We start from the raw sequence: 27,884 nt of genomic DNA, 5'->3' as shown, positions 1-27,884 counted from the left end.
CTGTTCTGGTGAGACCTCTCTTCTTGGCTTGTAAGTAGCCTCCATCTCACTGTGTGCTCACATGACCTCTTCTTTGTGTGCACAGAGAGAGAGGGAGAGCCAGCCTCTCTGGCATCTCTTCTTATAAGGACACTAATCCTTTCATAACAGGGCCCCACTCTCATGACCTCCTTAACCCTAATTAGGTCCTTATAGACCCTATCTCCAAATAGAGTCACATTGGGGGTTAGGGCTTTAACATGTGAATTTTGGGAGACATAATTCAGTCCATAGCAATAAGCTTGACCATGAGAGCAAAGCGCAGTTACCTGAATGCTTTTCTACTTTTTCCTATTCTTTCTCATCATTATTTAAATAGAAATAATACCAAAAAAAAAAGAATTTTTTCATGTTCATTCATCATGTAGCCCCTCAAGAGAAACACAGACAACTGGGGGGCTCTGGCCAAAGTCCATTTGAGCCAACTGAAAGCCTTTACCAGGCAGCCTCCCTGCAGTCAGCCCCGGAGGCACTTGGGTCAGACAGAAGTAAAGGGCGACTTACAAGCTATCAGACACTTATAAGGAATGATAGGAGATGGGCGGTCAAGATTTTTTTCTGTTTATATATAATGATCGGGCCTTAAAAGTTACTGTTTCTTTACGCACAATGAAGGTAACATTTATTGTTTGTCTAAAATTTGGAGTTTACAAAGCCCTTTCATAATGGCCTCTCATCTAATTCTCAGATCTGTCCCCTGCAAACTCACAGCATTAGTCATGGCCAAGAATATTATTCTCATCTCACAGATGGAAGACTGAGGCTGAGAATGACTGCTGCAAGTCATGAATGGAAGAAAAACCACACCTCCTTATAACTCACAACTTGCATTAACTCAAACTTTATCATTGCTTAATAGATATGGAGCAAAGAGAGAAAAAATGGTCAGCCGAATCCAGAAGAATTGATCAGCATGCACTGAAGAGTTATCTACTGTAAAACAGGGAATTTCATTTATGCCCATTTGGAATTCATGGTTTGTTGGAAAAATGAGACAGTTACACTTGCACATTTAGAGAAATAAGATGATAGATAAGAAAGGAATAATTATATAATATGCATACTAAATGCTGCAGGAATTTGATAAGGAAGATTTATATGGTAGAATAGTAGATTTCAAACGCACTAACAAGGTAGAGCATTTGTAGTTATGGTTTTCACCATGAAATGCAGATATATTTAATTTTATCATGTGAATGAGAAAAACATATGCCAGGAGACAACACTGCATGTATACATGCAATACAAATACACAGGCATGAGCTTATATGTCAACAAAAAATGGGAATTGTTGAAAAGTTAATGGTAGGTGATAACCTATTTCTGATTTAGAGAACAGAAAGAACTAGAAGTTTTACCTCTCTGAGGTAAAAAGACAAAAGGCTAGACATAGTGAAGATAAGAGAAAAACTGTCTAGTGTATGCTGGACATTTTCCACTGTGTACTCTTGATTACCAGATGTGTTAAATCAACTGAAGAGTGAGAAGCTATCAGTGATACTGTAGAAAGAATCCCTCTTCAACTCTACTCCTTCACATATAATAAAAATTCCACTTATCTCAATAGAAACACCTCATCCGCCTGTAAGTGTTTTCTGAATGCCTCTAGAGCCTGAATATCTGAGATCAAAGTACTTTTCTACCATTCGTGGCTGTGCAACCTTGAGCACAACTTCTCTGACCTCAGTTTCATAGAGTTAATAATGAGTTTTAACTTACTTAATATTTGCAAAATTATGAAGTACCTGGAATGTGATCAGCACTCAGAAATGCCAGAAAATGTTTTCATTATTACTTTCCTCCAACATCACGTATTATTACCCAATGTTCTGGTAATTATCTTCACAAAATGCAAATTTGCTGTCGTTATCACTGAACGAAGACCAAACATCCTAATCTGGCCTATGAGGGTCTATAAGGCCTCCACCCCTCATCTTTTCTACAGCCTAATTTATAAGCTCTAGCTTCAGCAGAACCAGGGTTCCATCAACTTGACGGGATAAAAATCAAAATATTATAAGCTAGGATTAATGGAAGGATGAGTTTGGCTTTCTAATGAAATAACAATATACAAAAATGCTATTTTTTAATTCTTTAGACATTACTTGTGAATACAAATTAATGAAGCCAAAGAATAATACTTGCTAACAAGTATTTAGCACTTACTATCAGTACATTCCAAACTTTGCATTAGTTATTTTACATACATTATCTCATTTATTCTTACAACAACAACTCTGTAAAGAGTAGTATTCATTTTAACTGCATTTGACAGCTGAGAAAACTGAGGCTCAGAGAGGTTAGGTTGTACATCTGCTGTTCCAGAACCAAGAAGTAGCAGAACAAGCCTATAAGACACCTGTACCTGAGCTCCTTCTCAGCACACTCCCATTTAGTGCCAGGTACTATGCTAAGTGTTCATAATAATGTATTAATGTCATCTATACATTATTATCTCTGCTTTATACATGAGAAACTGATACACAAAGAGATCATGTGTTTTGGGTCCGTTGGTCCCTAACCTAACAAAGCAGTTAAATCAAGATTTGAACTCAGGTCTGTCAAAATATAAAGAAAGGATTCTTTACTATTTAATGCAAATGTACCCTTTACACTTAAATGGTTATTTAAATGTATTAGGTGTACCATGATACATTAAAATGTATCCTTAAAAATGATACATTTTAAATGATTTATAGCATTGTTTTCTTGTACTTTAAAATGACACATTAAATTAGCTCCATGCTACCTGGAAGAACTTAATGACTCACAGTTAGAGATAAATTCCACTTCTAATATGTGTTTATTATTTTAAAATATTTAATTCTGCTATAGAAGATATGGTAACAAATGGGATGCATGAAACCCACAGTTTGCATTAAATATAGATAAGGATGAGTTAGTAGACCACACGTGTGTTAAACCCAGGTACTAAAGACACATGAGGCAACTGAGCTCTAAACATTCATAATATACTAAATATACAAGAGCCATGAACAATCCCTGATACAAAGGAAGTTCTTAATATTTTTGAGGGCATTATCAGCCTCAAAAATATTTTGATTTTGAGGATTCATGGATTGATGGAACTCCTTCCCACATGTCCTTTTCCCAAGGGCCACAAATAAAACCCAGAACTTCTCTGCAGGCTAATTCAGAAGCTACAAATGTAGCCAGTGTACTTGCCTCTCCATCTCTATGAGGAAGTATGTGTCACTGGCCCAGGGCACCAGATTCTGTCTGTAGTTCCCCTTCGTGCTACCTTATCGCAGGTCCTCATAACCACACCATCCTCAGGAAAAGTTGATGTGGCAGAGAGAGAGAGAGAGAGTATGAACACTGCCTATCCTAGGAATCAGGTAGTGTAGTTCTTCAACCTGCTTTCACTAAATCCTAAGTGGATTCTCTTACCCATCTCTTTCCACTTGCTTCTCACATTATATTTTACATTTGTTTCTTAATCTATGGAGGTCAGGCACCTTCATCTAGTCTGCGAGTGTTTCTGCTCTATGACCTCTGGAATAGACAGCTTGCTGGTAATGTGTTGGAAGCTACCATCGCATCAAGGTAATTTTCCTTGTGGCATCCCTAAAAAGCAATGGCATCAAGAACAGAAGCGAGTGTGAATTCTGAGCAGGAAGCCTGAGTCTTGAGAACATCTGAGGTTCTCTCGTTTCCCCTGCCTTTTCACTCACCTCGCATCAGCCAGAGTTGCTCGTGCCACAGCCCATGCTGCAACAAATGCTGCTGGAAACCCTGAAATCAGAAAATGATTCAGAGACTAGATTTATTTTAAGATTAAGGAGGTTTTTTCCTCAAATTCACCATATATAAGAATATACTATTAGCTGTTCAGAGATAAAAATAGACATGAAAATTTCTGATATGTGAACAAGAAAAGTCCACTTAATTTTTAATCATGTCAGTTTGAGAAATTAGCAAGAATATTGATGTTATTTGTTCCTCTAGTCTGAAGATAAAAACTGGCCTAATTTTCATCTGAGGGGTGTAGGGAAAAGCCATATTTGGAGAAGAGTGAAGTTCCTAGGGTTGGAAGTAAGCAATGGTTGGCATTTGACTTTGACTCTTGTCACGCTGACCATCATATGCTCTCAAGGAGTGAAGCAACACAGGGACTCCTGAAAAGCTGAGGGATGCTGTTGTTTTAAAAACTTAGAATTTTTTCATCCTAAAAATGGAAGGCATACTGAGGCAAGTTATAAAAATCAGGAAGTTTTAACCAGTTTAGTCTCTTCTTTTAGTTCACGTTGGCACAAGACAGAAGCATTTTCATGCATTAATAGAAAAGGGTGACCACTATATTTGTCTGATGATTTGAGCGCGAGATATTTGTCCTTCATAAGTGCTAAACACCTTCTGGGCTTGTAACATCAAATCCATTATACCGACTTTCGTTTGCCCCCCAGTAAAAGTTCACTGTCCAGCTCATGTTGTATTTGATTAAACTCTGACATCACACACAAAAAAATCATGAACCATAACTTATATGGAATACTGCAGTAGGGGACTGAAAGACTTAAGAGATGACTTTTCATTATGTGGCCTTTATGAAAGTGGTTTAAATAAAGGATATACAGAAACCATAAGGAAAACATTTTAGAATCTAGGAAGCACCTTACAAAAGGGGAAAACAAAATTTTGGTCTAGCCAAGAACATTTTTTATCAAGCATAACTTTAAATTCTTAACCTTTAAAAAAATTGTAATTTTTTTATATTCTTTCTTAGCAACAAAGTGAACAAAGAAATAGGCTTAGAAAAAGAAAATTTTCAGAAAAAGATGAAAATGATGATATGCACAATAATGTCTTTGGTCTCCTTAGTGACCATCTAACTTAAGTTCAGCCTGCCTATATCACTACTGAATTTTATGATTCTATATTCCAATTTTATTTCTTGTTTCTATAGTATTCTTTCTTTAATCTGCTCAAATTCTGTGTTCTAGGAATTTTTTGTCAAAATAGACCTACCTAATTCTGGTTATTTCTTAGGTTCAGTTTGCATATTCTATCTATCTATCTATCTATCTATTTATCTATCTATCTATCACATTTCTCCATTAATCATTTATTGTCTATTTATGTGTCAAAGATTGTTCTAAATGATATAAATAATGAACAAATAAACAATATCCCTGTTTTCTAAAACTTATATTCTGGTGAAGCAGTCAAAATTAACAAAGCAACTTCAGTTGCTTTTGGTTATGAATTGGTGCTATGAAGAATAAATAAAAGTGATACTATGTAATGGGGAGGGGACAGCTGCTTCTGGTAGGATGATTAGATATAAATCCACCATACAGTCTGGCATAGATTCTACCACATGGCCTGACATAGATCCCTCAGCTGTTCTATCTTGGTTGTCTTCAAAAAGTGTCTGCCTGTCTTTCATCAATTTTCACATCTTATCATTCTTATATCTGCATCTTCTGCTTCCTTTACATTCTTCTGATCAGGTACTTCCTGAATGCTGTTCTATACAGTATTTATTAATGGTGGTTGAGTTGGCATTATGTTTTAGATGATAATTATGTCAAATATCGTACACAGGCATTATGTCTTCATAGAATTGCTTTTCTCACCTTCTTAGAGAATCTTATGCATAAGACTAGCATAGAGACTACCATGGAAGAATGAAGAACAGAAAACTACTTTGGGATCCTTTAAGGATTTTTTATCACGAGTCTTAATATGAATTGTTACATAATTTAGAACACAGAAATAAAGGCAAAAATACTTGACATGTAAATGTTGTTTTAAATTTAAATGTTAAATTAAGTAAATTTAATATAAATTTAAATGTTATCTAGTATGTGCATTTACTGAAAGTTGAGTTATTTTCTTTTTTTTTTTGAGACGGATTCTTGCTCTGTCACCCAGGCTGGAGTGCAGTGGCATGATCCCGGCTCACTGCAAGCTCCGCCTCCCGGGTTCACACCATACTCTTGCCTCAGCCTCCCCAGCAGCTGGGACTGCAGGCGCACGCTGCCACGCCCGGCTAGTAGAGACGGGGTTTCACCATGTTAGCCAGGATTGTCTCGATCTCCTGACCTCATGATCCGCCCACCTCAGCCTCCCAAAGTGGAGTTATTTTCATAAGACACGTCAATACAAAATAAATAAGTTTTGTGAAGACAAAACTTTAAATTAACTTTAAAATAACTACAAATTAAAAATGTTGAATATGATACATATGATCACAACAAGAAAACAAACAAAATAACCTAAAGGGTCAGAGTGCATGCATCTTGTGTGGGAGACTTTAACACCTGTCTCTGTGTTTAAACACTTACTGCCAAGTGGATGATCAAAAAATGTTTGCTGGATTAAGATATTTTACAAAGGGAATAAAATGGGAGTGTGGGACTGTTTCCTGATTATTTTCAGGGAACATATTATGTGAAAATATTCTATGTAAGATGGTATTACTAGGATAGGTGGTTTTATATGATGATATGTACATACTGGTGTTTCATCTGACAGTTGAAAATTAAGGATGGCTACTAATATAGAAGCAAATTACCATATTTAGTAACAATAAAAAAAAGAGATACCTTTTACATACAGAATTAAAATAGAGGAAAATGTGTAGTTGAAATAAAATGGAACTAAGAATAAAGCACCTTATTTATGGGAAAACTGAGACAAGGATGGGGAAAATAATAATGTGCTTGGTTGAATGAAAAGAAACAGTTATCATTAGTATTCACCTTTATTCTCTATGCATCTTGTTTTATAATAATAAAATGTAAAAACAGTTATTTTAAATATTTGTCCTTAATTTAGTAAAGGTCAGATATGACACCTATTCTTCTTCAGATTGTCATTTCCTTTCCTTCCTATTATTTATTTATTTATTTATTTATTTATTTATTTATTTTTCTTTTTGTTTTTTTTTTGAGATGGAGTCTCGCTCTGTCACCCAGGCTAGAATGCAGTGGCGCGATCTCAGCTCACTGCAAGCTCCACCTCCTGGGTTCACGCCATTCTCCTGCTTCAGCCTCCTGAGTAGCTGGGACTACAGGCGCCTGCCAGCACGTCTGGCTAATTTTTTGTATTTTTAGTAGAGGCAGGGATTCACCGTGTTAGCCAGGATGGTCTCAATCTCCTGACCTCATGATCCGCCCGCCTCGGCCTCCCAAAGTCCTGGGATTACAGGCGTGAGCCACTGCGCCCAGCCTCCTTCCAATTTATTTTTAAGAATCATCATAATCAGATTGCACATGGTCGCTCACATCTGTAATCCCAGCACTTTGAGAGGCCGAGGCAGGAGGATTGCTTGAGGCCAGGGGTTCAAGACCAGCCTGGGCAACATAATAAGACCACATCTCTAACAAATAATAAGAAATAAAATAATAAAACATTTAAAAAGAAAAGGATCATCACAATCAATATAAGTGTAACTCCACACATTACTACAATGTGACTAACAGAGTTCTGAGTATTTATCTAGCTGAAAAGAGCTTAAAGTTATAAACATTTGGGTCCAAATGAGTAACAAAGGAATTTAAGCAAGTTCTCTGCTCTAATGAAGCCAGTAAATGGCATCATTGGAAGTAAGTATAAAATTGGACTCGCTCTCAGTTATTCTAGCAAAGTATCCTGCAAGGCATATATAATGTTTTTGATCATTTAGAAAATGAATTTAGAAAAATGAGTCAGATATATAAATAATGTTTTTAAATCAGTCTCTCAGTGTTGAGATAAGAGAAAGACAATCCATAAATCAAACAGATTTTGATATGTACTTCATTCAGTGATAGCTGTGTTTTAGGAGCAGAGAATCTTAAAAGAATACTACTATTATTTTCATTATATATGCCCTAGACTAGAGTATATTTTTAAAGAATGGAAATGCAAAGAGAAAGTCAGAAGACAGACTAGCTGTAGAACCATAATTCCATGAAGAATAGTTATTACTCTTTTGACTTGTGGCTAATTAAGTGAGCAAAATGTGGCATGTAAAATGCGTTCACAGACAGTTTCCATGAAAAGTCAACCGGTTTTCATGTGTGTTCTCAAACTATTTCACGAAATGAAGATTTCTATTGTAGTTGTCATTTCTATGCCTAAACTTTTGTGGGCAAATTAATAAAAGCTGTAAAGGAAGGTAAGAAACCATACTTGCATAGAAGCTCACTAGCACCTTAGCTTTTCTTCACATTCTCTTTTTCATAGAAAGATTTGTGTTTTCTGAGATTCGGTGGGACAAACTCCTAACTGTAAGGAGAGACAGACTGAGTGATAAAGCCCAAATAAAGAGTTAATAAGGAGGCTTGCACCAGGTAGCTATCAAGGCATAAATAAAGAGAAAAAAAGAATTTATTAAAAATGTAAGCAATGATGAAGAAATTTGAAAAATAAAATATAACCCAAATAAACAAATGTCTACATTCATTATTGAATTTTCTATCAACACCTTTTCCAACTCCTAATAATTATGTGGGTTCACAGATATAATTTTGATTTGAAGGAAGGCAAACTACCACAAATTGTCAAGAAAATTTCCAAAGGATCCTAAAAAAGCAAAATATTATCTTTTTTATTTTCAGTAACTGCTAGTCAAAGATAAGAAAGAGCCTTAAAACAGACGAGCTGTCTACAAAAATACAACTTTAATTGTGATGATTATTTCATAATAAATAAGTTTAACAGTAAATTGATTTTCTTTGTCTTCTTAAAGGTTATTAATTAGCTAGCAGAAAGTTCAGCATTCTTTACTTCACATTTCAGTTGTTAAGAAAAAAAGTTAAGGCAAAATAGGCAAAGGCATATTCTTATTTTGGAGAGGAAAAAAACCTTCAAATTTAGTCGTGAGCTACTTAGTGAATTTTTTTCCTATGCTGAGCACCTCCTAATTTAAATATTAAAATAGCAATTGAGATCTGCAACTGTTAATCTCCAACCTCTTCTCAATTTTCACCACATATGAGTTTTAATTTCCCTTAATTTTTAACAAGCAAACAATTTCTTTTCTCCATGTCATGTTGAGTCAGTGTCTAATCCAGTAATCCCCCTTGTACTGCTAAATCATTTTTGAAATGAGAACTGAATACTTTTTTAATTACTTATGCCAGAAGTAATTTGAATAATTTCCTTCTAAAACACATGGTAAGTCCACATAATTAGTTTGTAATTTGTATTTGTTAAATACAGTCAGGATGGTCCTACAAATTCATTTCTGGCATTCTCATCATATGACCTAGAAATACAAACCAAAAATATATCATTATAGCTTAGAAATTCAAAAATAAAAAATTTTAAGATGAAATTATTGATAAAGCAGAACACTGACATTTAGTTGTACATGTGTATGGCTTACAATGAGTTCTCTTATATTTCCTCCAAAGAATCCTCTCAAGAATCTGGCCTAAGAACACTATCCACAAATAACTTTAAAAGTTTGTCACCACTGGGAGAATTATAGACTTGATCTTAATTATTTTTGTCTAAGAATAGAACAATAAAAGGGAGATAAAAAATAAGAATGGGAGGGATTGTTTCAGGAAAATGGCTGTAGGGATGCTAATGATGGGCATGACAGAATGTCATCAAATGCATCATCCAGTTTGAAAGGAACAGAGATATAAATGTCTTACCCCAGCCTATCAAGATGAAGCCCCACAGGTATTTGGTGTCCGAAAAGAAAGCCACAAAGATGAGATTATGCAGGTAGAGACCTTCCACCAGGATCCAATAATAATTTGTAGCCAGGAAGTAAATAAACATCACAACAGCAATCTTGCACCCGATCTATTACAAATAAACCAGAATTTCATCATATTAGAACACTTTGTTGTACTGGATGCCAACATTAGACCACTAAAAAACAAGTCTTCAGTTTCTTTTTCAGGCTAATATGTCTCCTTTACACAGTAAAGTCAAAACTGTTGAGAGGCCAAAACAGTTATTTTAATGCATCATTTTTCAAGACTATGAACTTGATTCTATTTTTAAAATAAGTTTTTTCTTTAAGAAGTTACCAAAAAAATCACCTTTTCTCAATTTTTTCACTTTATAAAAATAATACACGACCATCACAGAAAATTAGGAACATATAGAAAAGTATAAAGAAGAAAATGTTACCCATATTTTTAGCTTGAATTTATTTTATTTTGGTCTTTTATGCAGCTATTGCTGCAAAACAAGCTGCCCCCAAAGTTAGTGACTTATAACAATAAACATTTAACATATCTTAGAAATCTGTGGATGGGCTGGGTAGTTCGGCTGATCTGGGCTAGGCTTGTCTCGGCTAGGCTCACTGAGTAGAGGTCTACTCTCAACTGCTACACTATTGCGTCCACTTCCTTCTGTTGGGGAAAGCAAGTCTCAGTGCCAGCCCAGAATCAGAATCAGCAGGGACTATAAAGTTACAGGGCAAAGGCACAGATCCAGACAGGGTATTAATTCACACCATCAAGACAATCAATCTACTATACCTAATTTCAGATATATTGCTTCAATGATCTAATTGAGTGAATTATTGGATCAATCTATTTACTACCACCAGGACATTCAAGAGCAGAATCAAGTAACATAAAATTTTATATTGGAACAAGTCTTCGAGTACTCAATAAAGGGACTAAATATCATGGGCTTTTAAATTGCAAGCTTCTGGTTTTGCTGATGGGATTTTTACTTTCGAAAGTGGTGAGCCCCATGACAGTTGCTGTGGTGCCTATGCCAAATACCATTCCAATCTTGTGCATTTTGCAGTTTCCATTCCAGAATATTCTTGAGGAAAAAACCCAAGAACTTTTAATAAAATGATTGATTAGACATGAAAGGACAGAATTGAGGGAGAAAACATCACTATACAAATTGATAATCCATTTTAGTTAGTTCAGAGATAAGTAAAAGCAAGTTAACATGTTTAGTGGACTGTAAAATTGTACTTATTTGTAGTGTTATACAAATTAGTAATGAGAGAAAATGGTGAAAACACTTACATATTGTGATTTGTCCACAGAAGTTGCCTCAATGGAATTTTGTGGGTCATCCTGCATTATTAGGGACTCCAGCTCCTTTACTCCTATGTGAGCATGGACTACTCTGTCTTTGACAAAGATGCTTGTAGCTCTCAGCATGAAAGACACAAATAAGTGCATGTGGATATAGTTCCTAGTGCAATGCAATCGTCTACGGAGAGAAATATTCAGTATTTAAATTTGGATAAAATTAAAAATGGGGGAAACACCCAGTGCGACTGCTGCCACCACCAACCAGCCTGCTCCCCTCCAGCAGGGACTGGTTCGAGACTCCACACAAATTCCAAAATCTGCAGATACTCAAGTCCTTTATATGATATAGTGCAGTATTTGCACATAACCTATGTACATCATCTTGTTACTTTAAATCATCCCTAGATTACTTATAATACCAAATACAATGTGAATGCTATGTAAATAGATGTTATACTGTATTGTTTAGAGAAAAATGACCCAAAAAATAAGTATGTAAATGTTCAGTATGAACACAACCAAACTTTTTTTTCTGAGTATTTTCCATCCACAGTCTGTTGAATCTGGGGATGTGAAATCCCAGTATATGAAGGGTGACTGAATTGGTGCTCAAAATTTTGTAATGATTTCGATTAAGTTGAATGGAATTGGACACATGTTAAAGTGGATAAAAAATAAACCATAACAAAAGCAATAAATACTATTTCTTTATGTGCTGGTATCCAATAATTTGGGAGATTATTTAAGATGAATTTTTGTCCAATAGCACCAAAATCTCTCGGGAACTCATTCAATTCGATGCTGTCTTACTTTGCAACAAATATACTTCAGTACATACTTATTGGGTTAAAGGTTTCATACTACTTTGATACTTTAAGTTTTTAAACAAAGAACCCTGAATTTGTCATGAAAAATTAATTGTCAAATAACATAATAACATTAGGCTGAATTCAAAAACTTGCATTTGAGGAAAACATTTGGAAAATATTGTGAGACCGCTATGTCTTCTCTGGATAGGAAAGACAATGTGCCCCTTCATGGAAAAAGTGATGGGCATCACTCACCTGAAGTAACCAATGATGAGAATAGCCACAGCCAAGGAACCAAAAGAGATGGAGTAGCCAACGGTATACATTACATAGAGGCGTTCAAAGAATTCTTGCTGCAAGGGAAGAGATGCTCATGTATGATATGGGACTATTTTACCAATAAACTGGCAAAGAAATAGTATGTCATTTTTGGAATCTTATTTCTAATTCTCTTTAACTTTTTTAAGCTGTAATTTGCATGCAATAAAATGTAGAGATCTGGAGTGAGCATTTTGATAGGTTTTGACAAACCAAGTTCATTTGTGCCCCTTGCTAGTCAAAAAAACACCCACTATCCACCCCCAGGAAATCACTGTTCCAATATCTGTCACCACAAATTAGCTTTCTCTGTTCACATACTTCATATACCTCTTGACTATTCTTAGACTTCTTAGGATTACATGTTACAGTATATACTTTTTTATCAACATACTGTTTTTTATATTCATCGATATCGTTACATGTATAAATAGTTCATTCCTTTTCAATTATTTTGTTTTAAAATAATTATAGATTCAAAAGAAGTAGAAAATAGTGTAAGAAAAGCCCCAGGTTCCCTTCACCCAGTATTCTCCAAAGCTTACATCTTATGTAATTTTACTAAAATATCAAAACCAGAAATTTAATATTGATGCGACACGCATATTTATAGTTCTATGTCATTTGATCATATGTACATTTTTGTAACCATTACTGTAATCAAGTACAGAACTATTTCACCAACACAAAGTTCTCCTTGTTCTGTCCCTTACGGTGACACCTCCTCCTCTCCACCATGCCAAACACCTGGCAACCATTAATCTGTTTTCTGTCTCTATAATTTTGTCATTTCATAAATGTCATATAAGTAGAATTATACAGTATGGGATCTTTTAAGATTGGACAATGGTGTAGAAATGTGATTGGACAAAAAGGATGTAATCTAATACTAATAGACTAAATGGGGAAACTCAACAAGCGTTTTCCATGTTTCAATCAGGCTAATCCAATGAAGCCTCCATAAAAGGGCCAAGAAAATGGGATATAAAGAGCTGCTAGACAGCTGAATTTACGGAGGCTTGCAGGAAGGTGAACCAGAACTCATCCATTTACCAGAAGGGTGGTGCACCCCAACTCCACCGGAACAGAAGCTCCTGCACTTCAGACTCTTCCAGACTTCGCCCTATATGTCTCTTCACCTGGCTGTTTATTTGTATCCTTTAAAATATCCTTTATAATAATATATAGGAAACGTAAGTGTTTCTCTGAGTTATGTGAGCTGTTCTAGCAATTAATCAAGCCTAAAGAGGGGTTCGTGGGAACCCCAACTTGAAGGTGGTTACTCAGAAGTTCAGGGGCCTGGTCTTGCAATTGGCTGCTGCCTTGTGCTCACTGGGAACTATGCATCTCTAGGGGATTTGTCTCAGCTTCCCTGCCCTTCTCCTGGCCTGTGGGCTGCATCAGTCATGCAGTTAGTGAGGGCCCCCTGTGCCTCAAGGGATGCCTCTCAGCTCCTCTGTCCTGATCCATGCCTTCAGCCAACTGCTGCCTTTCACTCTGTGAGAGCCCTGTGCACATCTCAAGGAATTTCTCTGAGCCCTCTGCCTGCCCCAGCCTTTGGCATACTTCCCCCATGCACTCGGTGAAGACCTCACGGCAAAGAATTGCCTGGTGGATTATAGCTTACTAAGACTAGGGCTTACTCCTTGGGATTCTAACTCTTTATGCTAGCCCTTGTCTGCTATTGGTATAAAAGCTTGTCTCTTTTCTCTTTGTCCCCTTCAATAGCCTGTTTTCTCCCCTTCTACTGTGGTCCTAGGGATACACGCAGCCATGGGTCTCTTCTCTCATAGGAAGGGCTTGCCCATTTCTGGAATTTAGTTCATTTAGATTTCTTGGCATCCTCAACTCATGTTTACAAATTATTAATTTTGCATCTAAGCCAACTTATTGTTGCGACTGCCTACAATCTGACTGGAAGCAGGAAGACTTTGCCTCTTGTTTCTTTTAAAAAAAATATTAATTACTTATTATTTTCTCTTAATAAAATAGTAAAACTTTTCATAGAAAATATTTGAATAATGTGTAAAACATAAAAGAGAGGAGAAAAAAAATCTTACAAATTCTAACCAATCAGAAAGAAACACTGTTAGTACTTCATGTACTTCACATATTTCTTGAAGTTGTTATTGTTATGACTTTAAGAGATGGCATCTCCCTATGTTGCCCAGGCTGATCTTGAACTCCCACCCCAGCCTCCCAAGTAGCTGCAACTACAGACACAGGCCACTATGCCCAGCTAGTACTTCATCTATTTCATTTCATTCTATTTCTGTGAAGCATTGCCTATTATTTTAAGCATCTGCATTCTCAATTTATATACAAGTTTATTCCTGAATTTTTTGTGTGACAAAATAATTGCCCAAGGCTGCAAACTCTTTATAAAATTTATATGCATATATTTGCGCTTATTTAACCAGTTCTTCATTAGAAATTTAAACTCGTTGAAACATTCATTATAATTATTTGTTCAATGAACATTTTTTCCATTCAGTTCCCCCATTCTAAATCCTTATGCTTGATTTTAGAAGTAAATTTATAAGATCAAAAAATATTATTCCTTTGAAGTTTTTAAATATATACTGCTAAATGGCTTTCCAAAAGTACATCTAGCCTTTGGATAGGAGATGTATTATATGGTAGTTTCTACAGTATGCTACTGTTTTAAATATCACACTCTAAAAAATTTAATAATCTTGTGACATCATTAGAATTCCTTCCCTTTTTTTAACTAAAATAATTACCTCATTTTGCCAAGCCAATTATATAAAAATTTAGAGAAAAAAATAGTGCTCAAAAATATCTTATTTTCCTGATAAAAATGTGGCATTTATTCTAAATTTACACTTTTTTAGTTTTTTGCCTTTCCTTCCTTATAAAAAAATTTTATTAACTATTAATAATTTATATCTCACAAATAAGTAATATCATTTTGCCCTACTGTGTGTCAAACCTTCAGGAGATATCTAGTTTTCTTATTAGACATATTTTGTTTTCTTGGGTTTTTCCAAATTATTACTTAAAGGTTGCAAACAATAGAAAACATTTTTTGTGTTTTTAATTAAGGAGATTAAATTATACTAACACAATTCTTCAAATTTTCTATTAACTTTTAAATCATTTTACATAAACTAGTATATATATTGAGTACATCAACCATCTTTAGTTATTTTTATTCTTAAAATACACAGTAATCACAGAAAATGGTTATAAGATTAGAGTTCAATATAAATAAAACCATGATTTAATTTAATGGCCATTAACAGCTCTGAAAGGTTTGCATTTTTCATCATGTAATGCAAAAATGAAGATAATCACAGAGTACACTAAGTATCAGTGAATGTTTGTTTCTATCAATGAGACTGAAATTCTTTTGAAGCATTTTAGCTTAACTGAATGTTGATGTTACTTATGTTAGTTCCATTGTAGAGTACCTAACAATCTCCTCATATTGACTTATTTTATCTAAGAAGCTTTTCAACAATTAAACAGATAACTGAAAGTCTTTCTGCCAATTCCTAAAGAACTCATTAAGGAAGAAAGTTAAGACAGGAAGTTCTATTAATGCAAAATCAAAGAAACCTTCAACTCACTACTTCTCTTGCTGCTGTTCTCCCCCCACCTCCCCAAAACATCACCAGACATAAAGAAATATGTCAAAAATTCGAAGAGTTTATGTGTGATGGACTATTCTCAGGGTTTTCATAAAGCTAATTTATCACATTAACTCTTAGCATCATATGCATATATCATCATGCATTTTTACTCACGAGGTCTAAGTGATATAAATTTAAACATGACTTTTAAACCAACTTTTATAACTTAAAAGCAACTCTCTAGAATATCCCAAAGTTTATATATGATTTCTATATTGGAAACAGCACTGATGTGAAATTGGGACATAAGGGCTCTACATTAAACCCTCTTGCCACTGAGCTATGTCACTTTGACCAACACCTAATCTCGGGTTCTCAGTTGACTCACATCTCTGAAATTAATATATTGTGCTGGAAGATTTATATGATGCCCCTTGCTCCCCTTTAATCCTAAAACTCTAATCTTTTATACGCTAATGAGATCATCTATTGGTAAATCTTATGAGGTGGAAAATACACCTCTAAAATGCAAAGGTCCTTCTGGAATATACAGATGAGATGTAGCCATTCATAGGTAACTAAGAAGAAATCATGAATCATGTTACTAACCACCTATTGGGATTTTTATTCATAATATAGCATAATATAATGCAAGTAAACAATGTAATCTAACATAATAAACATAACACACACACAGGTATAAGTATGGATGTATGTATCTCAGCCAGGTAGCTCTAGGCTATAGAAAATACCAGAATGATTGATATGCATCTGAAAAGATTGCAACATTGCTTTTATCTTTTATGATCCTTGTGTCGTGGAATAAGAGGGTTTTTATACATAATGGCTGGCAATTGAGAATTGCATTAAAATATTATTCTGCTTTCCCTTAGGAATTCACAAATAGAGAAATTCCATTACCTTTCCTATGCTGATATCTGGCTGCAGAAAGCGAAGGCAGTCTGAATAATTGGCCCATGTTTTATTTAAGCTGTGCATAAAATCCCATGTTCCATTGGGGTTACAGTGTCGGAAAGCAACTCCTGTAAAGACATGAAAGATGCTGAGATCGCTCAGTTCCCTTAGAATCTATTATCAAGAAAATGGACAAGTAAATGTTTGTTTTAAATTAATCATTTTAGAAAAATTCAATACCTTTATGGTTGAAGTCATAAATATAAGGAGGGCATGGAACAGCCGATATTTTCCCCACTGTTCCTCTGGGCCAACAAATGAGTCCATCCCATTCAGGGAAACAATTACCTTCTAATGAGAAAAAAAAATTAAAGCAAATAAACAAAGAAAAATGTAGTTAGAACCAGAGAACAAATGCATTCAAAAAACAAAATTTTAGGTCATTGTCTGTAGCAAAATTAAAACAAATTGGTAGTTTTTGAAACTAGATAGAATAGATATGATGCAAATGTCCCAAAATTCATCTGTGTGCTTCATCAAAGGCTCATTCATAGGAACATTTGCTTTGCATACATCAAAAATATTCAAATTATTCCAGCATACTAGTTATGGTAGCTATAGCAATTAATTTATAAGAAACATTGGAAATCATTGTGAACCACTTCTGTGACAAAGTTTTTCTGACCACCAAAGTTGTAACTACATTTTTACACTAGATTCTTGAAAACTGTTTTTAAAGATCATAACACCTGAAGCAGCGCACTTCACTGGCAAGCCGCAAGACTCAGGTTTATCTTTTTACCAGTACTTCTCCTTGAGTCTAACATTCATCTCAAACAACATTCTCATGAACTCTACTCTTCTCAAGATGAATCCAGAACTTCATCACTTCTCACAACATCTACTGTCACCACGATAGTCCAAGTCACTTCATCTCCAACCTGAATGAGTGCAACAGTCTATGACTGGCGCTCCTGATTCCAACATTTCTTTCTGCAGGACAGTTCTCTGGGTGGCATTGGATGAACCCAATTCTCTCTGTCCCTTTTTTTTGTAGTTCTCAAGAATAACTATAGAATGTGCTGGGAATGCAACATACTGAGATAAGGGGTGAGGAACTGCCTGGAACAGTCCAGACTCAGTTCCAAGCCCTCCCAGAAACAGGATGTCTCCAGACATTAGCCCAGTGCACTCTGTGTTCCCTGAGGTATGTAATCAGGGTTGGGCTGTTTTATGGGGTCCCTCTGCTGTGGTGCACGCAGGTCATGAGCAGTTGAGATTCTATCCAGCCCAGGCAGCTTTCCCGAACCGTGGGGCACCAGTTCCCAATGACTCCTAGGCTTCTGTTGTTCCTTGCTGCCTACCTGTGAGTAATAAACCCGTTTCATGTAACTCATGTGCTGGGTATTCTGCCTCACTGGACTCAGACAAGTTGGTAACTAGTGCACAGTAAACCTGCTTCACACTTTCTTTCCTTTATTTTTGACACAATAGCCCCAAATCCTCCAACAGCTCCAACAGGCATTATCAAAACATAAGTTTTTATAATGCCTGAAGTGCCCATAGGGTCTGCCCTCTCACTCAGACAGACTTATTCCCTTACCTCCTTCATATTTTCACTCAAATGTCAACTTCTGAGTAAACACGCTTATCTAAAATTGCATCCCAAAATCTTCCTTATACCTTTTCCTGCTGTATTTTTCACCTGAGTTCTCATCACCTTCCAATATTGGGTGTTATTTTATTATTATATTCCTAAGTCACAGGATTTAAGAAACTTGAGATTTTTGCCTGTTTTGTCTCAAGCTTTAGCCACATTCCGGGAATGCACCTGGCACTTGGTGGAGGATTAACAAATATTCAGTGTCAACTCTCTGTGCTCTTGCAGGACTCCTTTCGATTAGTGATGAACTGAACTTCCAAGAAGACAGCCTGTCAGCCAAATTATACCCCAACTTCTCAAAAATAGATACCTTCAGTGACTGCTGTATTAGTTTTCCATTGCTACTGTAACAGATTACCACAAACTTCACAGCTTAAAATAACAGAAATTTGTTTTTTCTCTATTTCTGTAGGTCAACAGTCTGCTGGACTCAGCTGTTTCTCTCCTTGTAGACCCGTGAGGCCAAAATCAAGGGCTGGGCAGGGCTGCATTCCTCTCTGGAGGCTCTGAGGGAGGATCTGTCTCCTTGTTCACTTGGGTGGTTGGGAGAATTCAGCTCCTTGCAGACATAGAACCAAGGTCCCCATTTCTTTGCTGACAGCTGTCAGCTGAGAGCTGTTCCCAACTTCCAGAAGCTGCTTGGCCCCCTTCTTCCATCTTCGAAGTCAGCAAGGCAGGTTGAGTCCTTCTCACATGTTTAATCTCTCCTCCTCTCTCATTTTCTGCTTCAACTCTGATTCTTTTGCCTTCCTCTTCCACTTTAAAGGGCCCGTATGATCACATGGAACCCACTCAGACAATCCAGAATAAGCTCCCTCATTTTAAGGTCCATAACCTTAATTCCATCTGCAAAGTCCCTTCTGCCATGTGACACAGCATACACAGGCACAACAGCAGGTATTAGGGCATGGACATCCTTGGAGGGCCATCATTCTGCCACCACAAGTACTACCCATTATAGCTCTCTCAATTTTTTAGTTACCAGTTACACTAACTGTGCTGAGGATTTTTGTTCTGGCTAATGTTCATTTTGTCAAGTTGTTTGCTTAGTTTTGAACAGTCAGCATAACAGAACCTTACAGAGACACTGATCTCTACAGAAAAATAAATTCAGTTATGAACCTGAAATTAACTTCTTAGCATCCACCATATCACACAGAAACAAATACTTGATTTGCTTTGTGCATTGCCGAAGCAATAAGAAAAGAAAATGTCTTTCCAAAAACATTTTTCTTAGAAAAAGCCTTGCTTTGCTCACATAATAAAAGCCCGAGCTTTACATATCACAGGCAAGGCAGGAGCCCATCCCACTGGCTCCTGCTTCTGGTGCACAGCTCCACCTGCCTCTCTTTCCACCATTATCTGCTTTGTTGTTTGTATGTTTTCCTTTTCATTTATACAGAATGTAATGACTCCACCTCTCCCAACAACTTTGCCCTCAACAGTATATCTTGATATCTTTCAATTCACCTTTTCATTAACAAGCCACATGTCTTTATATATCTGAACTGTCCAGTCGATATGTGCCCAGTATCTATTGTGTAATTACATAAATTGGACCTGGACACACATTCTTATTTCTCGGTAATTAGATATCCCTCCAAAATGTATGCTGCAATGTCATATGCTATTTTCTAGCAAAAGCCAATGGCCAGTTTATTCTATAATTATATAGTTTTAAAACTGCTATGGAAATTTTTTTTCCTCATGCTCTAAAAGGGACAGCTTTCTCGTTCCCTGCAAGATACTGCTTCACACATGCTGCCCAATTTTTAGAAAACTGACACTCTCCCAAAATATTTCTGTAGATCATGCTTATTTTTTTGGTTGCTCTTTGACAAAGAGAATAGTAAATGTTCACAAAAGGTTGAAAAAATTGAAGAAGCCATGAATCTCACATAGAAAATAGAGATTTTTTTTTTTTTGAGACAGAGTCTCACTCTGGAGTTAGTGGCACCATCTCAGCTCACTGCAACCTCCGCCTCCCGAGTTCAAGCAGTTTTCCTGTTCATCCTCCCAAGTAGCTGGGACTACAGGCACCCGCCACCACACCCAGCTAATTTTTGTATTTTTAGTAGAGATAGGGTTTCACCATATTGGTCAGGCTGGTCTTGAACTCCTGACCTCAGGTGATCCACCCGCCTCAGCCTCCCAAAGTGTTGGGATTACAGGCACGAGCCACTGCGCCTGGCCAAAAATAGAGGTCTTAACTAGCATTCTCTCCTTGATCAGATTGCCATCCAATGTGAGTAAATACTTTCATTATTTGGCAAGGACCTAATTAATTGACTAATGGCTCCCCATCTCTCTTTATAAATTAGCACCATTAATTATAACTCTGTAATTATTTTTGTGTGCCAGGACAAACTAATTATGAGTGAAGCTTGTCAAACCATGACATTTACACAGAACAATCTAAAATTTGGAGAACGTTTTTCTCTTTTCAAACGAAATGTGACCACACTTGAAATAATAATATTTTGGATCAATAATATTTTGGTCTGTGTTTTTTAAGTACTTGAATAGTTTTAGAGCTGAATATTTGCATTTATATATCCTTTTCTCTCTTTCATAAACATTAGGAAAACTTTTATGTTCTTATGTTCTTTTATTTAAAAAATCTTTCTTAAATAAAACAGAAAATCATATACTCACAAACTAGAATTGACAGCTGCTAATATTTTGCAATAGTTAATCTAATTTATTTTTTGCTACAGATTTCTAAAGTATAGACAGTCTGACAGCTCACTCCTAAATATTTTGATATGCATCTCTTGATTTTAGAAGAATGTAAAAATGGAAATTCCTTAAATTAGCTAGTGAATTCAAAATGTCATTCCAGTGTTTTACAATTTTAAAGTAAAGAGCACTTGAGTCAATTTATATATAATTAGACATTTTAATTGAAAGGTAAACCAAAGTTTGACCACATTTAATTCTGTCTTATTTGCATAGAAAAAGATCTCCATGCAAATAACGATCTCGAAGGAAGTGTTTTTTCTCTTTCAGTATTTATTTATCTACATGCTTCACATCATCCACATCTTCACAAATTTTAGATGTGACCTAAGTTTACTACCAGTTAATTTATTCTTTTATGTATAATTCATATGGTGTGTGACTGGTGCACACTTGCTTATCTTGACCCATCCTATTTCCTCTTTTGAAATGTCTTTGTGATGATTAATATTAGGGTCAACTTGATTGGATTGAAAGATGCCTAGATAGTTGGCAAAGTACTGTTTCTGGGTGTCTCTGTGAGGGTGGTGCCAGAGGAGACTGACATTTGAGTTAGTGGACTGGGAGAGAAAGTTAGTGGACCCTCATTGAGGGTGGGCACCCTCCAGTTGGCTAGAACAAAGCAGGGGGAAGAAGGTGGGATAAGCTGGCTTGCTGAGTTTTCATCTTTCCCCTGTGCTGGATGCTTCCATCCATTTATCCTATCCTTGGACATCAGACTCCAGGTTCTTCGGCCTTTGGACTCTTGGACTTACACCAGTGGTTTGCTGGGGGCTCTCAGGTATTTGGCCATGGACTGAAGGCTTCCCTGTTTTTGAGGCTCTTGGACTTAACTGAGCCACTATTGTCTTCTTTCTTCCCCAGCTTGCAGATGGCCTATCATGGGACTTCACCCTGTGATCATGTGAGCCAATTCTTTCTAATAAACTCCCTTTCACATATACTTATATCCTATTAGTTCTGTTCCTCTGGAGAACTTTGACTAATACAGTCTTACTTTCCTCTCATCACATCTAATTCCTACTTCTTTACTTTTAAGATGAGATAATTATTCTTCCAGGAAGCCTTCCCTGATTAATTAAGATTCATCTTCAGTGGTTCTATAGTTGTTAAAACACCTCTGTTGTTAAAATTATACACCATCCTGAAAGATGCCTGCCGTCCCTATTAAGCCATTAACCCCACAGGGAAAAGGCAGAAACTTATTCATACTTTTTAGAGCTTACTCTGGGCACATAATAATATTTGTTGAACTGTTAAAGGGACACTGACGATGATAATGTTGGCCTAGGTGATCTCTGAAATACCTTCTAGCTCAACAGTTTATAAGATTTCACAGAAAACAGCTTATCAGCCATCACAGATAATAATGCTTTCAAATTTTTTCATGATGATGTATCTCTTTGTTAGTAGATTTCCATATCTAAGATATTAGGATCAGCATTCTTTAGAAGTTGCACGAGTGATTCCCTTTTCAGACACTATTAGACTAGCCATTCAGAAAGCTTCCTCTTAGTACAAGATACCTACAAAGGCTATATTAATGTAAAAGCCTTCTTTCTTTAAATATGGCTTAGCTGGCTGTAAAGTAAAGGAATAAATTGTAGGCCAGAAATATAGGAGCAGCAAGCTCTACATTTGGGGTTTACCTTAGAGGCTTCTATTGACCTGTTTACTTAGAGTTTTGGTGGTGTTCAGGTAACAAAAGAAGAGCCTGAGGCCTGATGGGGTGGAGAAATTGAACAGGAAACCCCTCTAGAAAGTCAGTATCCCCAAAAGATGATACTTCTCCCACTAAGTGGGTGGGCAAGAAATAAAACCATCCTTCAGAAAGAGATTGGTTTGTGTCATTCTTGGCTACATTTGGAGTTGGAATAGAAAACAGTGGAGGGGAAATTCTTCTCTAAACATTTCTAACCACAAGCCTATATTTATGTGTGATCTAAATTTAGTTTAAATTGGACTTAGGTCAATAATTCATCTAGGCACCTTGCAGTTGCAAACACAAATTTTCTCTAAAGAAATGTTCTTTAAACAAGAACCTCATGAGTTGCTCATCACAAATCATTAGACACACAAGGAAATAAGCCACCATGTGTGGTGGTCAGCATTGACCAGCAGTCTATAGATATTACAATTATCATATGCAGCATATAAAGCATGTCTAGGAAAAAAAGAAGAGATTTGAAAGAATATTGAAGGAGCAAGAGACTATCAAAATTGAATACGAAGACTTCAGAAAATAAAAATATAATCAAAATTTACTAATGGATGGATTGAACAGTTGTTAGACAAAGCTGAACAAAGAGCTGGCAAACTGGAAAATATATATGAAGAAATTACCAAAATAGCAGTAAAGAAACAAAGAAAAGGAAAATACATAAGACATCGACACACAAAGAGTAGTATGAGTAGGTCCCATATTTGTCTTCTTAAAGTTCCAGAAGGAGATGAGAGAATAAAGGGGAGCAAAATTTCAGAGGCAAAATAACTAAAACATTCCAATCACCGAATAAAGATACAGATGTACAGATTCAGGAAATCCAATGAATCTATACCTAGATACAGAGTGAAACTGCAGAATATCAATGTTAAAGAGTTCTTAAAGAGAGCCAGACAGAGGCCGGGCATGCTGGCTCACACCTGCAATCCCAGCACTTTGGGAGGCAGAGGCAGGCAGATCACGAGGTCGGGAGATTGAGACCATCCTGGCTAACATGGTGAAACCCCGTCTCTACTAAAAAAATACAAAAAACAAAAAATACAAAAAAATTAGCCGGATGTGGTGGCAGGCACCTGTAGTCCCAGCTACTCGGAAGGCTGAGGCAGGAGAATGGTGTGAACCCGGGAGGCGGAGCTTGCAGTGAGCCAAGATCATGCCACTGCACTCCAGCCTGGGTGACAGAGCGAGACTCCGTCTCAAAAAAAAAAAAAAAAAAGAAGCCAGACAGAAAAAGCTAATCACCAACAAAGGCTGAGAATTGATTTGTCAGTAATAACAATGGAAGCTAGAAAAAAAAAAAATGGTATCTTTAGGTGATAGAAGTAAATAATTTTTAGCCAAGGATCATATGTCCAGAAAAAGTATCTTTCAAGGTTGACACCAAAATAAAGACATTTTCCAACAGACAAAAACTGAGATCACTATAAACATATTCTAACATAAAGATTCAAAAATATATAAATAAAGGACATTTTATTCAAAGAAGAAAAATTATAATAACATAAAATTAAGGTAGAACTAAAGAGCATATAATTTGGAAGCAATTAAAGTATCTCAAATTGTGTTTATTATTTGGAAAAAGGAAGAGAATGATAAACTTTAAACTTTCTGAAATTAAATATATGTGAAAAATTTCTAGGATAACCACTAAAGGAATTAAATATAATACATATCTTCCATACTAGTTGGCGGTGGCAGGGGATGGAATAAAATGAGAAAAATGTCTCAATCAATCCAAAAGAGAGTTGGAACTGGGGAAGTGGAAGGGCAGAGGAAGAGCTGGTGAAACAGACAGCCCACATGAGATTTTAGAATTAAACTCAAATACTGTATATTAGTAACTACAATTAATGTAGTTGAGCTAAATTCTTCAGTTAATAGACAAAGATTATCAGAATGGATAATGAGAAAAACTCTATGTGTGTCCTGTTTGTAAAAGATACTCCTGAAATGTAAATATACAGAAAAGTTTAATAAAAGAATGAGGAAATATGAGTTGTTATTTAATGGGTACAGAGTGTCAATTTAGATGGAAAATTTCTGGAGACTGATTGCACAACAATGCGAATATACTTAACACTATTGAGCAGTACAATGAAAAAAATTTTAATGGTAAATTTAATGCTATGTATATTTTATCACAATTAAAACATTTTTAAAGGATTGGAAAAGATATACAAGGCAGATACTAACCAAGAAAGAAGGAAACTAGTGTTTTAAATTTTTTTAAATATAGTAATTTTAAATTGTACATATTTTTTAAATATGAAGGACAAGTATCCTAGAGATAAAGAGGGCTACTGTATATCTACAAAAGGTTTAATTCACCAGGAAATCTAATATTTCTAAACTTAAATAACCTCCTAACATATTTTCAAAATATATGAAGTAAAAATATCCAGTGAATTTTTCAATGAAAAGTTGAAATATTCATCATCATAGTAGCATATTTTAAGATATATATATCTCAGAAAATAATAGGTCAAGCACATTTTAAAAATCATTATGGATGCAGAATATATGAACCACACAACTAACAAGCTTAATCTAGTGGACACTATAAAACATTGTACTCAGAAACTAGAGGGCATACATACCTTTGAAGACCACATGGAAAATTATCAAAATTGACAAAACTATAAGACATTAAGTCTCAACACTTTTTTTTTTTTTTTTTTGAGACAGAGAGTCGCTCTGTCACCCAGGCTGGAGTTCAATGGTGCGATCTCAGCTCACCGCAACCTCCACCTCCCGGGTTCAAGCGATTCTCCTGCCTCAGCCTCCTGAGTAGCTGGGATTACAGGCATGCGCCACCACGCCCAGCTAATTTTTGCATTTTTAGTAGAGATAGGGTTTCACCATGTTGGCCACGCTGGTCTGGAGCTCCCGACCTCAGGTGATCCGCCCACCTCGGCCTCCCAAAGTGCTGGGATTACAGGCGTGAGCCACCGTGCCCGGCTGTCCCAACACATTTTTAAAACTCAGTATCATGCAGACCACATTCTCTGATCATAAACAATTGAGAAATCAATCACAATTATTTGCTGGCATTTAGAGAAGTATGAAGTAGATTTTGAACTGCATATTTTATAATAGAGGCAATGTCCACAGGGACAGAGCCTACTCCTCCAAGCTTACTGCATGGTCGAGGGCAAATCAGTATGCATGCTCTCTACAGGCAGACAAACCCTGAAGAAAGGACTAAGGGATAGGCTGATGTGCACATGCCCAGTTGCTATTCTCAAACTCACTATCAGGCAAGTCACTTTTTCCACAGGGAAGGAAAAGCATGTAGGGTAGAGATGAAAAGAGTGTTGTTGTTCTGCTGCACACCCCTCCACATGGAAATGTGGATTGACTGATAAGGATCTCCCTAACACTAAAGAAGGAGGGAAATGTGCAATCTTTATAAGAACAGATAGGAGGCACAAGGAGAGCCAATTTTCTTGGCATCTTTACCTCCCTCCTGGAGTTGAGCTGTGATGTTGAGTTCACATTGTACTTTCGCTTTCAGCACAAGGACAATCTGCTCCTCTATAGTAATGGTGCCATCAGAATCCAGCTGTAGAAGTGAACAAAATACAAACATTTTCATCATGTTTTTTCAAGCCAGGATACAAGCTTTCATTATTTCACCTTCTAATCTAATTGAAAATGAGTTTGATATCAAGCTATTTGAAATAGTCCTTTATCTGAATCAAAATTCAAAATCCATCAATGTGTAAGGTTTTAGAACAATTTTACTTTTACCTGATTAGCCTTTTAAAAAATCTCATACCAGAAAAAGTGAGAAAATTTTAATATAGTTAGGTAATTATATTAGAGATAATAGACTACAAAAAAAAGAGATATTATACTAAGAAAAAATATTTAAAATAAAATAATTATATTAGAGATAATATACTACAAAAAATAAAAATAATATACAAAAATATATATAATTTCCTGCAATATTATAATTCCATCTAACATGATACAATTTATTTAGTACCAAGAGTGGTTGGTTCCAGAGGAACAGAACCTTAAAGAAGAAACCATCTGTATTTATCACCTATAGCTGTGTAACAAAACATCCCAAAATATTGTTGTGATTTAAAATAACAAACATTAATTTGTTTCACAGTTTGGGAGATGCGTAGCTGGGTATTATTTTCTAAGATATTTACAGCACAAAGAGAATCTCAGTGAATAGTCAGATATATAGTTTTGGAGATTTCTGGATTATATTCATAGCTCAATGCCCATATTTACTTTAACGATTTTTTTTTTAGAAAATGAGAGAATAAGCAAAAACTAATTTTGGGGGTTGAAATACATACCAGAATTTATCTATCAATATAATACAACATGGATTCTGAGTTATAAGTAGATACACTGAAAGTGAGCCTAAAATCTCACATATCAAAAAGAGCAAATGAACTGGATATACATGAGTCTCTGAGTGGGCATGGCAGGAAAAATTGACTCCTTCCCATTCGTTCTCTAGAAACAGTCAGGCACACCTGAAGTTTTTTGTTTTGTTTTGTTTTGGTTTTTTCCTGGCTGTTTTTTTCAGTTAAACCGTTACTTCCTTTTACTTCAATCCTAGAAAACATTGTATAAATTGTGACCAAATTTCAGAACTATACATTTGATTCAGAGAAATTTGACTTCAATTATCAAACGTGAATATTTCAAATCACCCCTTGTGCCATTTTTACTCGAAAATATTCTTTTTTATTTCTTCCTGTGTACACGCAGCCTTTTTATAGGGATAACCTTTTCAGGAAACCATGCATCTTATAAACTACAGCTTCTAAAGATATTTTGTTCTAAAACATCTGGTCAGTTTAGCCGGGAGCAAGTATGATCAGAATGTGCTAAATCACAATCTGTTAAATTGATCTTTAGTCATTGTATTAGTCCATTCTCACACTGCTATGAAGAAATACCCAAGACTGGGTAAGGAAAGAGACTTGATTGACTCACAGTTCCACATTGCTGGGGAAGACTCAAGAAACTTACAATCATGGCAGAGGGCAAAGGAGAAGGAGGCACCTTCTTCACTGGGCAGCAGGACGAAGCGAGTGCAAGCAGATGAAATGCCAGACATTTACAAAACCA

At 35.9% G+C, this 27,884-nt stretch overlaps 1 protein-coding gene across 9 annotated transcripts in view; it reads right to left on the bottom strand.

Annotated features, from left to right (window-relative positions):
- The window catches only part of PTH2R (parathyroid hormone 2 receptor), a 134,815-nt gene that overhangs the window by 39,963 nt on the left and 66,968 nt on the right, over positions 1-27,884 (bottom strand). For 8 of the 9 annotated variants that reach the window (NR_163994.1, NR_163993.1, NR_163991.1 and 5 more), the window contains 7 exons: positions 26,241-26,343; positions 16,897-17,007; positions 16,663-16,784; positions 12,083-12,180; positions 11,007-11,196; positions 9,657-9,810; positions 3,735-3,795 (listed from right to left, as the gene is read on the bottom strand). Coding sequence is in view for 5 of the 9 variants with exons in the window: in NM_005048.4 (NP_005039.1) it covers positions 3,735-3,795; positions 9,657-9,810; positions 11,007-11,196; positions 12,083-12,180; positions 16,663-16,784; positions 16,897-17,007; positions 26,241-26,343 (839 nt within the window). In the remaining 4 variants the exon portion in view is untranslated. The remainder of the gene's footprint in view (positions 1-3,734; positions 3,796-9,656; positions 9,811-11,006; positions 11,197-12,082; positions 12,181-16,662; positions 16,785-16,896; positions 17,008-26,240; positions 26,344-27,884) is intronic. The other variant, NR_163992.1, reaches the window with a different exon arrangement.

The sequence above is a fragment of the Homo sapiens genome, chromosome 2 (genome assembly GCF_000001405.40).
Source record: "Homo sapiens chromosome 2, GRCh38.p14 Primary Assembly".
Lineage (NCBI taxonomy): Eukaryota > Metazoa > Chordata > Mammalia > Primates > Hominidae > Homo > Homo sapiens.
Note: the sequence above shows the minus strand (reverse complement) of the source record. Positions and strands in the feature narration are given on the sequence as shown.